The sequence below is a fragment of the Homo sapiens genome, chromosome 12, assembly GCF_000001405.40.
Source record: "Homo sapiens chromosome 12, GRCh38.p14 Primary Assembly".
In the NCBI taxonomy this organism is placed as follows: domain Eukaryota; kingdom Metazoa; phylum Chordata; class Mammalia; order Primates; family Hominidae; genus Homo; species Homo sapiens.
In genome coordinates this window covers 94,829,003-94,845,554 of record NC_000012.12, presented here as the reverse complement: position 1 = coordinate 94,845,554, position 16,552 = coordinate 94,829,003, and the positions used below count along the sequence as shown (strand labels likewise).

At 44.3% G+C, this 16,552-nt stretch overlaps 1 non-coding gene and 1 pseudogene across 2 annotated transcripts, besides 5 other annotated features; both read right to left on the bottom strand.

Annotated features, from left to right (window-relative positions):
- Positions 1 to 10,526: 10,526 nt before the first annotated feature.
- KRT19P2 (keratin 19 pseudogene 2) lies at positions 10,527 to 11,101 on the bottom strand (annotated as a pseudogene). Its single transcript, NR_036685.1, has one exon. The product of NR_036685.1 is annotated as a keratin 19 pseudogene 2 (transcript).
- Positions 10,755 to 11,254: an enhancer, noted in NCBI's record as "H3K4me1 hESC enhancer chr12:95228077-95228576 (GRCh37/hg19 assembly coordinates)". NCBI's record gives its function as "activates a minimal SCP1, AML or CMV promoter by ChIP-STARR-seq in naive H9 embryonic stem cells {active_cell/tissue: H9 hESC(naive)}" and the evidence as "EXISTENCE:reporter gene assay evidence [ECO:0000049][PMID:30033119]".
- MIR492 (microRNA 492) lies at positions 11,042 to 11,157 on the bottom strand. The gene has a single exon (NR_030171.1). It is a non-coding gene; the product is annotated as a microRNA 492 (primary transcript).
- Positions 11,255 to 11,756: an enhancer, noted in NCBI's record as "H3K4me1 hESC enhancer chr12:95227575-95228076 (GRCh37/hg19 assembly coordinates)". NCBI's record gives its function as "activates a minimal SCP1, AML or CMV promoter by ChIP-STARR-seq in naive H9 embryonic stem cells {active_cell/tissue: H9 hESC(naive)}" and the evidence as "EXISTENCE:reporter gene assay evidence [ECO:0000049][PMID:30033119]".
- Positions 13,927 to 14,136: an enhancer, noted in NCBI's record as "active region_6802". NCBI's record gives its function as "activates an Ori minimal core promoter by ATAC-STARR-seq in GM12878 lymphoblastoid cells {active_cell/tissue: GM12878}" and the evidence as "EXISTENCE:reporter gene assay evidence [ECO:0000049][PMID:35858748]".
- Positions 14,147 to 14,356: an enhancer, noted in NCBI's record as "active region_6801". NCBI's record gives its function as "activates an Ori minimal core promoter by ATAC-STARR-seq in GM12878 lymphoblastoid cells {active_cell/tissue: GM12878}" and the evidence as "EXISTENCE:reporter gene assay evidence [ECO:0000049][PMID:35858748]".
- Positions 14,507 to 14,556: an enhancer, noted in NCBI's record as "active region_6800". NCBI's record gives its function as "activates an Ori minimal core promoter by ATAC-STARR-seq in GM12878 lymphoblastoid cells {active_cell/tissue: GM12878}" and the evidence as "EXISTENCE:reporter gene assay evidence [ECO:0000049][PMID:35858748]".

Genomic DNA, 16,552 nt, shown 5'->3' with positions numbered 1-16,552 from the left:
TTCTGTATTCCTGATTCACTGTAAGGTGGAGATGTGGAACATGGCTCCCCAACGGCCATTCTTCCCTGAGTCATACCCAGCCGTGGAGACTGTGTTCTTTCCCCCAGCCCTTCCCACCTGAGAGAGCCTTGAACAGCTCACTTAGCAGTTCTTGTTCCTTACCCTGACCGGAAGGCCCAGCTACTCCTTTGGGTCTCTGAGACAGCTAAAGTGCTGGGCTAACGAAAGCCACTGTCTTTTCTGCAGGGGAGGGGTAACTTGTGGCCAAACACTATGGTGGAGAGAAGATGTGAGAGGAAAAGATGCAGGATCACTGATGTGTAGAAGTAGCTGAAGACGGAGAAGGGATACGGTGTGGTAGATTGCAAGGGCGGCCAGTTCCCCACCTCTCCCTGGATCCACGCCTTTGCAGTTCTTTTCACTAAAGAGACACCCCTCAAGCCTGGGCTGGCCTCTTTATTTATTTGTTTGTTTGTTTGTTTATTTATTTATTTTAGACAGTCTTGCTCTGTTGCCCAGGCTGGAGTGCAGTGGCGTGATCTAGGCTCACTGATGCAACCTCCACCTCCCGGGTTCAAACAATTCTTCTATCCCAGCCTCCTGAGTAGCTGGAATTACAGGCACATGCCACCATGCCTGGCTAATTTTTGTATTTTTAGTAGAGACGGGGTTTCGCCACGTTGGCCAGGCTGGTCTCGCACTCCTGACCTCAGGTGATCTGCCCATCTCGGCCTCCCAAAGTCCTGGGATTACAGGCATGAGCCACCGCGCCTGGCTTGGGCTGGCCTCTTGACATTGGCTTTGGCCAACAGGATGCAGTAGTAGTGATGGAGGGTATGCCAGCTCCAAGCCCAGGTCTTAAGAGACTGCATGATCCTGCTTGCTCTCTTGCACATACACCATTGTCTTGCAGATGTTCTCAGAGCAGAGCTGAATTACCCTAAACTTCCCAGCCAAAGACTTCCTAAATCAGCAAAGAACCAGCTGATTGCAGGGTGGTAATTACTCCAGGGCCAGTAATCTCAGCCAGGATCAGCAGAGCCACCTAACTGACCACTCCAGACACTTGAGCTATGAGCCCTTACTGCTGTATGCTAGTGAGGTCCTCTGATTACTTTTGCACAGCATTATTGTGAACTGGATAACTGATACACATGGGGATGGTGGGAAATGGACAGGCAGTGGTCCTGTGTTCAGAAATGGAGAAACTCTCTCCTCCTCTCCTCCTATATAACACTGTCTGAAAACATGGAGCAGTATTTCTGGTACAGTAGGAAAACAAAATAAAACAAACCAGCCATGGCCAACTCTCAGCATCAGGAAAGTACAGCATAGTTGGTGAAGTGCTACAAAGGGAAAGTGAACCTCCAGGCAAGGACTGTATCTAGCAAAGCCGTCAGAAATGTCAGCTGTGGCTGGGTGCGGTGGCTCACGCATGTAATCCCAGCACTTTGGGAGGCCAAGGTGGACAGCTCACTTGAGGTCAGGAGATCGAGACCAGCCTGGCCAACATGATGAAACCCTGTCTAAAATTACAAAAATTAGTCAGGCGTGGTGGTGGGCACCTGTAATCCCAGCTACTTGGGAGGCTGAGGCAGGAGAATCACTTGAACTCAGGAGGTGGAGGTTGCAGTGAGCTGAAATCATGCCACTGCACCAGCCCGAGTAACAGAGTGAGACTCCGTCTCAAAAAAAAGAAAAAAGAGAAAAAGAAATGTCCATGGTAATACTAGCATTTCAAAGGACTGCCTTCCCTTCCTCCATAAATCGTTTAACTTCATCTATTGGGAATTTTGTCCTTTTACCATGGGGTCGTGGGTTGCTCTTCCAATTTTACTAATGAGCTTATTCGAGTTCCAGATATGAGATAATTCCCCTGTTCTATGAGTGCTATCACACTCTAGTAGAAGAACTATCCAAATCATATGAATAAAACACCGGATAAAGCACATGAAAAAGTTCAAAAAGAAATGCTCATAAAAGAGTAATTCAGGATGTATATGTAACATTTTATCCTAGGAATATGAATTTTTTAAAGGAAGTCTGTAACTAGACTCTTTGGTCAGTTTCAGTTAAGATAAACTATATGATGATCACAATAGATTCCTAAATTACATTTGACAATTCAGTACCTGTCGTTAATTTAAAAAATATAATTCTTATAAAAATAAGATTTTTTACATGATTTATGTATATTATAAACCAAAAAATAAATTTTGTATGTCTGTGCACCCACACATACATATCTCTTAAACCAGTATTTAATGTCATACTCAATGGTGAAACATTAGAGATTCCCTTTAAAATAAAAAAACTAAGATGATATTTATTATTCTGGAATTTCTTGTCAGTACAATAAAGCATGAAACATATGAAATATAGCTGATAGCAGGAAGTAAAAAGTTTTTAAAAAATAAACAACATAATTACATAACAATAAAAAAGAAACAAATGTATGGTAACACTCCTAAACTTATTGACAACTCAGTAAAGTTGTGGATTTATACATGAAGAATAATAGCTTTATTATATACCAGCAACAATCTGTTAGATATAATAGAGAAAATGCTTCTAGTTATAATAACAGCAAAAAAGCGTAAAACCTTTAGAAAAACTCACAGCACATTGCTGGACTAAGTAAATAATGGAATTTACTAGGAGATATTTTTTAAAATTTTGAACAAAGGAGATATCAGGTTTGTGGATATTAGAACATTGAATATTTTACATGTATTATTTTTCTCCAAGTTATTTTGTAAATTTTATGTTAAGCCCATGTAGTTCTGCAGAAAATGTTCATTGCTACAATCTCTCTATGCGCTCAGTTTGGTAATGTGTGGAGAAAGCCTTGAAAGAGTCCCTGTCCTTTAGGCTGTAAGGAACAGAAAACCTGGTAAAAATGGTTTACACAGAAAGAAGTTTAGGTTTATCATCTCACTGTCCAGAGGTGGAGTGTTTCCAGGAAATTCAGCAGCTCAAAAACATCACAAAGGACATGAGTGTTTCCTTTTCCTTCTCCGCCATCCTGAGTATATCAGTTTGTTCCCATAGACTTAAGTCCTCATGGTCAGGATGGCTGCATCAGTTCCGGGCATTGCATCTTTATACACTCATCTCTAGAGTTGAGAAAAGGAACCATTCCTTCTTGCATGGGTATTTGTAAAGAAAAGCTTTTTCCAAAAGCTCCCAAAAGACCTCTCTCATGTCTCACTGGCCAGAATTGCATTAAATGGCCTATACTAAAACAGGTGGTGGGCTAGATTTAGCTAGTAGCTTAGACTATCAGGATTCTCCTTTCTCTTCCTTGTTGGGGAGAGGCTCCTCACTCTGAGCACATGGTAGAACGCAGGGTAAACAATGGAACAAAATGTGTCTCTGCCAGCAAAGAAGTGTATGTGTGTGTGTGTGTGTGTGTGTGTGTGTAGGGGGACTGGCTTTGACTAGCAGTCTATACTCGTTGAATCAAGAATTTCAGTTCTAGAAGCTTATTTTAAAGAAATAAGCACAGAGTTGAACATAGCTTTCTGTACTCAAATGAACAATAATACTTACAATAATGAATAAATAATTTCATTATTTAATTATAGAAACTACAGAAACATATGCACACGTTTAAATTATTGTACATCCATGATAAATAGAATATTTAAACCATTAAAAATTACGTTTTCAGACACTAATGGCATAAGAAAAGCTCTATTGAATGTTTTCAGTGGGAGGAGAAAGATACGGAATTAAAACTAAGTGGATTTCATTTTCATTCAGTCACACTAATATACTGAAGACTGGGGAAAAACACCACCAGAATGTTGGTTTTATTCTAGTGATAAATTATGGGCGGTTTTCTCCTTTTCTGTATTTTCTGACTTTCTCCAATTAGTAATACTTTTAAGATCAGAATAATTAACAGCACTAAAATCACACACTTCAATTGTATCAGTTAGATTTTGCTGGATAACAAACTATCCTAAAATGTGGTGACATAACTATTTAGCCCATGGTTCTGCAGGCAAGCAATGTAGGCTGGGCCCATGTGGGCAGTTGTCTTCTTGGCTGGGCTGGCTCATCTTTATACCACATGTGTTCTCGTTCTCCAGCAGCTAGCCTTGACTTGTTCTCATGGCTGTGAAGCAGGGTTCTGAGAGGGAGCATAAGAGAGCAGAGCCTCGTGGGCCTGCGTTCAGGAACTGGCACATTACCAACTCTGTCTGCCACATTGTGTTGGCTAAAGTAATCCACATGGCCATCCCAGCTTCAAGGTTTGGTAAACAAACTGTCTCCCTTGATGAAAGAAGCCACATAATCACACTGAGTAAAGGGTGTGGATACAAGGGAGTGGGATGGAGGATTTGGGGCCATTTTTGCAAGCAATCTATCACTTCATCTTAAAAAGAAAGAAAACAGCAACAAGAGTCTTACCCAAAGATTAAACAAATAAAATATGAACTAAAAGGCATACGTTTAGGTGATGAGAACTTTATTTTTTGAGACGGAATGTCACTTTGTCTCAAAATCATATAGTTCATTGCAGCCCAAAACTCCTGGGCTCAAGTGGATTCTCCCACCCCAGGCTCCCCTCCTGCCTCAGCCTCCTGAATAGCTGGGAGCACAGGCATATGCCACCATACCTAGCTAATTTTTTATTTATTTATTTTTAAAGACGGGCTCTTGCTATGTTGCCCAGGCTGGTCTAGAACTCCTGGCCTCCCAAAGCACTGGGATTATAAGCATGAACCACTGCGTCTGGTTGATGAGAACTTTTAAATAAATGCTTTCCTTTAAGGTGATGGGGAAGATTTTATCTTTTCTTCTCATTCATGACTTGTTGAGAGTTTCGTGACAGCATATCTCTTGAGGAAGCACTAAGCATTTAATCAAGAAAGAGAGAGGAGAAAGCAAAACCTCTCTGTAAATGAATTAATATTGATGCACTTTCAGAATTTGTTCTTTGGGTGTGTTAATAACTCATTCTATGCGGGTCTTCAAAGTGCTGAGTGATGGGACCATAGCCAGAAGCAACAGGCTAGAGCCTTGCCATGCTTGGGGGCTTATCACTTTTCATCCAGGTCCTCGCAGCAGTGGTAATTAGGAAAGACCCTTGGGGTACAGCCTCCAGTGAAAATAGAGGATACATGCTGTTCCTCCTGGATGCATGGTCATCATGGCTATGGTATTCATTAGTGAGAGAGGCTCTGATGCATCCCAAACTGGGGGTGTCTGGGCAACCTCAGGGATTTTATGGGAACCTGAAGCCTTAGGATACACGTGCTGCATCTTCTTGGAGCATTGCTTTGTTTGGTTTAGTTTTCACACTTTTTTTTTTTTTTTTTTGAGACAGAGTCTCACCTTATCGCCCACGCTAGAGTGCAGTGGCGCGATCTCAGCTCACTGCAACCTCCACCTCCCGGGTTCAAGCGATTCTCCTACCTCAGCCTCCTGAGTACCTGGGATTACAGGCGCGTGCCACCACACCCAGCTTATTTTTATATTTTTAGTAGAGACAGGGTTTTATCATGTTGGCCAGGCTGGTCTCGAACTCCTGACCTCAGGAGATCCACCCACCTCGGCCTCCCAAAGTGCTGGGATTACAGGCATGAGCCACCACGCCTAGCCTAATATGAGTATCTTAAACAACATGGTATGTTCATCAAAATGAAAACATTTACCTTGGTACAACACTGTTAACTTTAGTTGTTAACTACATACTTTATTCACATTTTCCCAGTTTTTCCTCGAATGTTATTTTCTGTTCCAGGATCCAATCCACATTTTATTTAGTTGTCATGTCTCCTTAGTCTCCTCCGATGTATGATACTTTCATCTTCCCTTGTCTTATATGGCTGCTATAGTTTGGATGTTTGACCCTTGCTAATCTCATGTTGAAATCTGATTTCCAGTGTAGGAAGTGGGTGCCTAATGGGAGGTGTTTGGGTCATGGGGGTGGATCCCCAGTGAATAGCTTGGTGCTGTCCTTGTGGTAATGAGTGAGTTTTCACTCTGTTAGTTCCCATGAGAGCTGGTTGCTAAAAAGAGCCTAGCACCTGTACTCTCTTTCTCTCTCTTTTTTTGTGATAAGGTCTTGTTCTTTCACCCCGGTTGAAGTGGACTGGTGTGATCACGGCTCACTGCAGCCTCAACCTCCTGGGCTCAAGAGATCATCGCACCTCAACTCCCCGAGTAGCTGTGACTTAAGGCACGCATCACCTTGCCCAGTTAATTTTTCTATTTTTTGTAGAGATGGCGTTTCACTATGTTGTCCAGGCTGGTCTCGAACACCTGGGCTCAAGAGATTCTCCCCTTTTGGCCTCCCAAATTGTTGGGATTACAAACATGAGCCACCGTGCCCGGCCCCTCTCCTCTCTCTTGCTTCTCCTCTCACCATGTGATCTCTGCACACACCAGTTCCCTTTCACCTTCTGCCATGAGTGGGAGCAGCCTGAGGCCCTCACCAGAAGCAGATGCTGGCACCATGCTTCTTGAATAGCCTGCAGAACCATGAGCCAAGCATGCAGATGTTGCTTTATAACAACACTAAAAGGCTTGAGACGTATGACCTTGACACTTTTGAAGAGTCGTGTTCAGGCATTTTATAGAATGTTCTTCCATTTGGGTTTGTCTAGTGTCTTCTCAGGATTAGACTGAGGTTATGGACTTTGGGGACAAATACGATTCAGGTGATACGCTGTTCTCACTGCGTCCTTTGAAGGAGTACATGATGTCAAGATGGCTTGGTACTGGTGATGTCTCATGTCTGCTAGGTTTCACTACTGTAAGGTTACTGTCTTTCCCTTTCCATCATTGATTAAGTAGAGAGGAATCACCAAGTCCAGCCCATACTCAGGGCATGGGGGGATTAAGTTCCACCTCATGGAGGAGTATCAAAGAGTCTGTGGACATATTTTAAAACCACCACAGTAATTAATATTTGTATTAGTATTCAGCTAGGAGATATTTTAAGGTTGTGCAGATAATGTTTCTCCATAAAGTTTCACACATTAATTTTATCTTCATCAGTGGATCTTGTTAAAGCAGTTATTACTATGGTGTTTAATCATGATTTCTTCTTTTCTTTCTTAAAAAAAAATTTATAAACTGTAAAGTTCTGTATTAATGTCCATAATCCTGCTGTCACCGAAAGTGCAACAGCTGATCATTCCCAGGAAGACTGAAGGCCATAATTTTTTTTAGGGCAAACATTTCTGCTCCAGTGAAATACAGGTGATTTTCTATTTTCCTAATTCTTTCTATAATTATTAATTGGAATTCTTTTGTAAGGAAGATCTGTCCCTTTTGCTATATTTACTTAGTCACTTATTTATTTCAGTATAGGCTCACAGATATTTGTTTTATTCTATGATCTTATACTACTATCCCCCCTTTTTTCCCTCTAATTTGTTCCAGCTTTGGCTATTGGGAACTCCTTCAGTTTGGCTTATACGTCCATTTGACATGCCCCATCTTTCTTCTTTTTTCCTTTTCTCACCCTTTCCTTTTTAAAAAAAGCACCTCCTTTGCTTTCTGGCATTCTAAGATGTCCAGGTTCATCTTGTATTTTCCTTGCTGCAGTTCTTGAGCCAGCCATTTCTTCAAGGAACACTGGTCTCTTGGAGGTCATCTGGAGGATGGTATTTAGAAACCAAGATCCAGATACTAAGTGTGCTTGTTGCTGTAGGGACATCACAGCTTCAAGGCCGCCTGAGTGGAAAAAGCTAGGAAATATATGTGACATGTACACCCATATATAGTGTGTGTGTGTGTGTGTGTGTATATATAATGTATATACACACACATCCCTATATTTCTGTATCTGTGTGTGTGTATAAAACAATGCCGGCCAGGCATGGTGGCTCATGCCTGTAATCCCAGCACTTTGGGAGGCCGAGGCGGGCGGATCACGAGGTCAGGAGTTCGAGACCAGCCTGGTCAATATGGTGAAACCCCATTTCTACTAAAAATACAAAAAAATTAGCCAGACATGGTGGCGCACACCTGTAGTCCCAGCTATTCAGGAGGTTGAGGTAGGAGAATCGCTTGAACCCGGGAGGAGGAGGTTGCAGTGAGCCGAGATTGCGCCACTGACTCCAGCCTGGGAGACAGAGTGAGACTCTGTCTCAGAAAAATACAAAAAACAAACGAACAAAAATCAATGCCATGAGTCATACTGATATTGCGACATCACTTTTACTCAGTAACTTTTTGGAGAACATGATTTTAAATTTTATTTTTTTTTAATGAGAATAAACTTATACAGTTGACCTATTAGGATGGCATTTGGCCACAAGCAAAAGAAGAGTTATCCAACAGTACTGTAAACAAGCAGGGGTCCACATTCCTCACAGTCATCCTTGGAATAAGTGGAGGCTGGCCTGGGCACAGAGACCAGGACAGTGTTAGTGCTCAGGGCTGAGATCCTCTTGGCCTTCCTGGCTCTTTCCCCATGGCGGCAGATGGCTGCTATAGCAGCACTAAAGGCAGTGGAAGGGTCAAAAGGCTTCTTTTGTGTGATATGGTTTGGATATTTGTCCCCGCCCAAATCTCATGTTGAAATCTAATCCCCAGTGTTGGAGGTGGGGCCTGGTGGGAGGTGTTTGGGTCATGGGGCAGATCCCTCATGTCTTGGTGCTGTCCTTGATATAGTGAGTGATAGTGAGTGAGTTCTCAGGAGATCTGGTTGTTTAAGTTTGTGGCACCTCTGCCCCAACTCACTCTTGCTCCTTCATTCGCCATGCCATGTGACATGCCTGTTCCCATTTTGCCTTCTGCCATGAGTAAAAGCTCCCTGAGGCCTCCCTGGAAGCTGTGCTCAGGATGCTGGTGCCATGCATGTACAGCCTGCAGAACAGTGAGCCAGTTAAAACTCTTCTCTTTATAAATTACCCAGTGTCAGGTATTCCTTTATAGCAGTGCACGAATGGCCTAATACGCTTTGCATAAACCTATGTCTTTTTTTTTTTTTTTTTTTTTGAGATGGAGTTTTGCTCTTGTCGCCCAGGCTAGAGTGCAGTAGCATGATCTCGGCTCACTGAAACCTCTGCCTCCCAGGTTCAAGCGATTCTTCTGCCTCAGCCTCCCGAGTAGCTGGGATTACAAGCATGTGCCACCATGCCCGGCTAATTTTTGTATTTTTAGTAGAGACGGGGTTTCACCACGTTGGCCAGTCTGGTCTTGAACTCCTGACCTCAGGTGATCCGCCTGCCTCAGCCTCCCAAAGTGCTGGGATTACAGGTGTGAACCACCGCACCTGGCCAAACCTATGTCTTTTTATTGGGAAAGGAAAGTTTCCCTGCTGACCTCCCTGTTTAGTGAGAACCGAGTTATTCTTGCCTTTGACTTGTCACTGGCCAAAGAGAAGGAGAAAACCAAAGAAAAGGTTGAATCCCATCATCATTCACTTTCTGAGGCTGAGAGAGGGACCTGTCCTCCCTCAGATTGGGCTCAAAGGGGACAGAAAGGGCTGCTGGGTGTGCACATATAGGGTGGCCTAGGATGTAGACTTCTTAGGAACTTTTAAAGATAGGAGATACTTAATGCTTACCTTCCAGAAGGAGAAATGGAGACACAGAAAGGTTAATGTACTGGCCAAAAGTCACAGAGTATGTGCTGGAGCCAGGGTTGGAAGCCAAGGAGTGTGGTTCCAGAGTCTGTAGACACACGCTAGCCACAGGCACGTTGGATACAGTACACTCTGGGATCTGGACCTGCAGGAATGCAGGCCCGTGTTGAAAAGGTGCCAACCCCTCTGGCTCATTGTGGGTCCTGGCAATCCACATTGCAGGGTCACCTTTTTTTTTTTTTTTTTTGAGACGGAGTCTCGCTCTGTCGCCCAGGCTGGAGTGCAGTGGCGGGATCTCGGCTCACTGCAAGCTCCGCCTCCTGGGTTCATGCCATTCTCCTGCCTCAGCCTCCCAAGTAGCTGGGACTACAGGCGCCCGCCACTACGCCCGGCTAATTTTTTGTATTTTTAGTAGAGACGGGGTTTCACCGTTTTAGCCGGGATGGTCTCGATCTCCTGACCTCGTGATCCGCCCGCCTCGGCCTCCCAAAGTGCTGGGATTACAAGCGTGAGCCACCGCGCCTGGCCCAGGGTCACCTTTTTGACTGAGATGTTTTCTGTTATAGTTGTCCCTTAGGCAATGTGAAGAGGCACCCCTGTCCATTACACCGTAATTTGACTTGGCCTTCTGGATCATTTTATGTGTTGACATTTGCCCAAGAGGAGCCTGGGGATTAGACTGGAACTTTTCTTTGCTCTTGTTTTTTTTTTTTTTTCTTCCCTTGAGCCATAAAATTTTGCTGGCAGGTCAGGGGAAGAACCAGGGGTAAGGGTCTCTTCCTTCCCATCCTCCTACCCAGGAGACGTGCTTTGAGGAGAGCAGAGGCCCCAGAGCCTGCAGCCTCAGAGGACCTTGGAGGTGGACAGGTTGTTGTAATGATCTTCCTGGCCCTCAAGCAGGCTGCGATAGGTGGCGATCTCCTGCTCCAGGAGCCGCTGGTACTCCTGATTCTGCCACTCACCATCAGCTCGCACATCGCCCAGCTGGGCTTCAATACTGCTGATCAGTGCCTGGATCTGCACCAGCTGGGCTCCAAAGCATGCCTCTGTTTCTGCCAGTGTGCCTTCTAAGGGAGCTTTCACGCTGAGCTGCGAGTGCAGCTCAATCTCAAGACCCTGGAGGGTGCACTGCAGGTCAGTGACCTCAGACCTGCTTATCTGGAGCTGCTCTATGTGGCCAGTGACCTCCTGGTTCAGTTCCTCAGTCCAGCTGGTGAACCAGGCTTCAGCATCCTTCCAGTTCTGCTTGGCCATGATCTCATATTGGCTTTGCCTGTCACTCAGGATCTTGGCAGGTCCGAGCTGAATCCACCCTCACATGGACCTGGTCTCCCACTTGGCCCCTCAGGGCATTGATTTCCTCCTCATGCTTCTTCTTCAGGTAGGCCAGCTCTTCCTTCAGGCCTTTGATCTGTGCCTCCAGATCAGTCCTGGCCAGGGTCACCTCATCCAGCACCCAAACACTCAAACCAAACTTGGTTCAGAAGTCATCTGCAGCCAGTTGAGCATTGTTGATCTGCAGGACAATCCTGGCGTTCTCAATGGTGGCACCAAGAATCTTGTCCCGCAGGTCCTCGATGGTCCTGTAGTAGTGGCTGTAGTTGTGGGAGGGCCTGTGCCCCTGCTTCTGGTACTAGTCACGGAGCTTCACCTCCAGCTTGCTGTTGGCTGCCTCCAGGGCGTGCACCTTGTCCAGGTAGGAGGCCAGGCAGTTGTTGAGGTTATGCATGGTGAGCTTCTCGTTGCCCGCAAGCAATCCGTTGGACCCAGACAGGATGCCGCTGTAGCCCCCCGAAGGAGGACAAGGACACGCCGCGGCTGCTGGAGCCCCTGTGCCTGCTGGGGGACTGGAACTTTTCTAGTGAGCAGTAGAGACTGCAGTCCAGCTCGTAGGCAGCCACAGTGCTGAAGGAAGGAGCAGCCATTAGGATAGTTATGTGCTTGTCCTGGCTCTGTCACTACAAAGATTTGTGACCTCAGGCAAGGTCCCGAATCAGATGGTCTTAAGACAGTGTATCATTTCATCTGACTTTGATGGGCACAGACATACAGTCCCCCTTTTTCTGTCTCATTTCCCTCATCTGTGAAATAGGGGAACTGGAGGGATAATCTGGATAAACCTTAACATGCTTGTCAGAGGAAAGTGGGGCCCTGAACAAGAGCTGGGAGGCCCCCAGTACTTCTCTCTGCTATCTGTTCTGTGTCTTCTGTCCACTCCTTCATATGAGCTACAAGGAATCTCTGCAAAAGAGGTGAGGTGGGAACTCAAACTGAGAGGAGTGGAGACTGAGGACAAGCCAGGAAGATACGTGCCGAGAAAGATGCCAGGTGAACTCGATCTTAGACCCCACGGCGGCGTTCTCTCTGGGCCCTGGCTAGTGTCAGTCAGTGATCTCAGAGTCAGCAGATCTATTTCTCGCATCTGGATGCCAAAAAGCAGGAAATCCCTGGTCTTGGCTGGGATCAGGGGATAATCTCAGATGTGAAGGATAGGGCAGCAAGCCCTCAGATGGGCTTCCAGGCAAGTCTTGTCCCCAGTGGGAGCCCATAATTCCTTTTTTCAGCCACTTGGATCTTTTGCTTTTTAGTTTTGGTGACTGATCTTCTGTTCCAGCCAGGGAAAAAAAATTATCTGCGCAGAGGCTTGCTCCAGGATTCTCTTTCTTCTTCTTCTTCTTTTAACTAGGGACTGCTGATGTCGTCACTTCTGTTTTATTTTCTTTTGGAATTTATTCCTATTTTACAGAGTCCTTCCCTGGCCTGATGCTCTCAGGCATAAGCTTCGTGGTTAAGCTTCCCCCTTCCCCCTAAGTCTTGTTCTCTTCCCAGACACAGGCACTTCCCCCTTGGCTGTCTGAGTAAACACAGCCCCTGCCTCTTGGGATTCTACCTAATAGCCCTTTTGCCATTTGAGGCCTGGCCTGGTATCAAGTTTCTTCTTTTAAAAAACAGCCTTGGGCTGGGCGCTGCGGCTCTGCCTGTGAGCACTTCGGGAGACGGAGGCAGGCAGATGGCTCTGGGTCCAGGGGTTTAAGGCCCGCCTGGGCAACATGATGAAACCTCATCTCTTCAAAAATACAAAAATTAGCTGGGTGTGGTGGCATGCACTTGTGGTTCCAGCTATGGGTGGTGGGGGCTCTGGAGCAGGAGGATTGCTTCTGAGCCTGGGAGGTGGAGATTGCGGTGAGCTGTGATCGCACAACTGCATTCCAGCCTGGGTAACAGTGAAACCCTGTCTCAAAAAAATAAAAATAAAAATAAAAAAATAAAAACAGCCTTTAAAACCCACATTTATTTTGATTTCTAAAGCAATATATGTCTGTTGTGGAAAATTTGGGAAATAAAAGTAATAAAGAAGACAATAAAGATCAACCTTAATCCCAGTGCCCAGAGAATTAATGTTTCATGCATTTTATTTCACTTTCTTCTGGAAGTATGTATATACATGTGGGTATGAATATTTAACATAGTTGGAGCCATACTGTACCTAATGGTTTATAATACGTTTTGCTTTTATGTTCTCACTAACCCCTGTGGATATGACCCTAGACATGTCTTTGAATTTTTTGAAGTTAAATTATGCTCTACTTATTTAGTGACCATACACTCACTTTCTACCTTTTTTTCCTATCATCCCTTCTTTACTCTCATTCCCCTGTCTGTTTTAGGATGATGATGAGGAGGAGGAGGATGATCAGTCATATAGAAACTCTCGGTATTGATACATTCATGCTTGGAGTGCTCTGTAATGTTGATGCTGTTATTATCCTCTTATTAATGGAAGAGAAAACAGAAGTTAAGGAAATTGCCCAGGTTACGTGCCCTAGTAAGGGACAGAACTGGATTTGAACTTTGACACTAGCTGCAGAGTCTGGACTAGCCTCCCTTGATATTCTTCTTGTGAGCGCTTCTTTTCTGGGTCGAAGATAGCCTGATAGCATTTTCCAGATTTTGTGGATAAAGCTGGGTGTTAGTCTTGGCCTGGCCACTTCCATCCTCTGTGGCCTTTAGTAAGTTATTTCACCTCTCTAGATCCCTGTGGGCCTTTTTGGGTCTCAGGGTCTATGACTTTCTAGTGGAAAGAAAACAACAGAGACAACTTTCAAGGACAGGCCCAGAATGATAGGAATATCATTGTCTACTTGATTTCAGGGACACTTACATTTGGCTCTAAAAGACATTTCTGTGAGGAAGTTGGTTTTCTCCACACTTTACTAAGGCAGGAGCTAGGTGGTGCCCAGGAGAAGTCCCCACAGGGGCTGTGAGGTTTTCTTGGATGCTAAGTTAGAGCGGTCCTCATGAAGGGTAAGCCCCATGACATATTTCCCTTGAGTGTGCTGAGGTCACAGGGCTTCTGTGGCTCACCAGCAAGTGTGGGGAGTGAAGAGCATGTGTCCCTCCCTGGCACAGGCACCCGGCCCCCTGCCGTGTTGTGGTATCTCTTCCCAGATGATCTTTGAGGTGTGTGGCTGGAAGAATGCTCCAGTCAGCTAAAGTGGGGTTCTTTAGTCGCAGTGTGTGCTGGTGGGCGAGTGAGGTGGGCTGGGCAAGCCAGAGGTGACTGCTCTGCTTTTCCTGACATCAGTGATGGGGTTGTCTTGCTTGGTGCACAGGTATTTTTCCAGGGTTCTGTCCTTCCACTCACTGACCAGAAAAAGAAAAAGAGAACAAGAAGACGCTTGTCTTACAAAATAGAAAGTTTACCCCATGCAGTTTCCCTTCCCTTTTCATATAGATGTTACAAAGCAAAAACACACACCCACAATGAGGGGTTTTTGAACTTGGCTGGGTTTCAGCTGTCACCCAGGAAGCAGTCAGCACTGTACGTGGCCCGTTGCTTTACTCTGCAGGTGTTGGTGATTCTCGGGTGCAAGGCCTGGCAATTGTGTTCCTGTGCCAGGTCCTCTGCACATGGCTTTCTTTGTTTAGTGTTATTTCCCCTGTTTGCCAGGCTTCTCTGAGGAGATGCTGACATTTTTTCTTTGTCCAGTTCTCCTATCCTAGAAACAAACAAAAACTGCACCTTTTAAAAATGTTTTTTTCCTATGGTTGAATTGGAAAATATCTTGCTTTAGCCAGGGAATAGCACAGCTTTTGTTCTGTTAGTGAAATGATCCAGGGATTTTATTTCAAAGTATAAGGTCCCTAAGATAAGGAATGAGGGTTATAAGGGAACATGGTTATGTTTGGGCAGTCAATTAAATTGAATATAGCAGTGATGAAGCACTAAATGTACATTAGGAACATACACATATCAGTCAAGTTTTCAAGTCTCCCAAGGAAACTACAGTCATAGTGATGGTAATGATGATGTGTTGATAATAAAAAAATAACATCGGCATTTGTTGAGTATTTACCATGTGCTGTTAATAGATAGTGTGCTAGTTTAAAACAACTCTGTAGTATGTATTAATTTTTTGTATCAGAACAAGAAACTGAAACTCAGTCTAAGTAACATGCTAAAGTCAGCTAGTAAGTAGGAGTGCTGGGTTTTACACACAGATTGAGTCCACAGTTCCAACCCTTAACCTCCAGGCAAACTGCCTGCAAAATCATATTTTAACAGATGTGGGGCCGGGCATGGTGGCTCATGCCTGTAATTGCAGCACTTTGGGCCAAGGTGAGTGGATCGTTTCAGGTCAGGAGTTTGAGACCAGCCTGGCCAACATGATGAAACCCTGTCTCTACTAAAAATGCAAAAATTAGCTGGGCATGGTGGCAGGCGCCTGTAATCCCAACTACTTCGGAGGCTGAGGCAGGAGAATTGCTTGAACCCAGGAGTCGGAGGTTGCAGTGAGCTGAGATTGTGCCACTGCATTCCAGCCTGGATGACAGAGCAACACTCTGTCTCAGAAATTAATAATAATTAAAAAAAGAGATCTGGGTATTTTAGCTTTAATTAAAAAAATAATAAAGAGAGATAGAGTCTTGCTATGTTTCCCAGGCTGATCTCAAACTCCTGGGCTCAAGCGTTTTTCCTGCCTTGGCCTCCAGAGTAGCTGGGACTACAGGTGTGCACCATCGTGCCTGGCTTATAGCTTTAAATTTTGAGATACCTGAAGAAAGTGCTTTTGATAAATAAAATTGAAGAAGAAGGAAATGTATTCTTTCTCTCCATTTTGTTTCTATCTTTGGATTGCCTGTGACTCATCATGAATATGACTGGAAGATCTGCCCTCTGAACTGAGCCCATAACTTTACTGAGGTATAATTTACATATCTAAAGTCCATCCATTGTAAATACATTGATTTTTAGTGAATTTGTAGAGTTGTGCAATCATCTCCGTAATCCATGTTTATAGAACATGCCCATTACAGCACAAGGTGGCCTTGTGCCCACTTGCAGTTAGTCTCTTCTCCCACCCCCAGTCCTGGGCAACCACTAATCCACTTTCTATCTTCATACATTTGCTTTTGCTAGAAATTTCATATAAGTGGAATGATTTAATATAGGGTTTTGTGACGGGCTTTTTCTCCCTTAGCATGTTTTTGACCCTTTTCACTGTTGTAATGTACATTGGTAGTTCCTTTTTGTTGCTGAGTATCTCATTATATGGATATACAACATCTTGTTAACTCATTCACCAGTTGATGTTCGTTTGAGTTGTTTCTACATTTTGGCTATTATGAATAATGCTGCTATAATCATTTGTATGCAAGTTTTTGTGTAGACAAATGTTTTTATTTCTCTTGGGTAGACACCTAGAATTGCAATTCCTGGGACATATGGTAGATGTATATTTAACCTTTTGAAAAGCTGTTACAGTGCCTTCCACGGTGACTGTACCATTTAACCTTCCCATCTCTGGGGTATGAGGGGGTTCCAGTTGCTCCACATCCCATTCTACACTTGATATTGTCTGTCGTTTTGACTATAGCCATTCTGGTGGGTGTGTAGTAGTATCTCATTGTGGTTTTAATTTGCATTTCTGTAATGACTAATGATATTGAGCATTTTTGCGTGTGCTTATTAGCTGTTTATATATATATTTTATTATA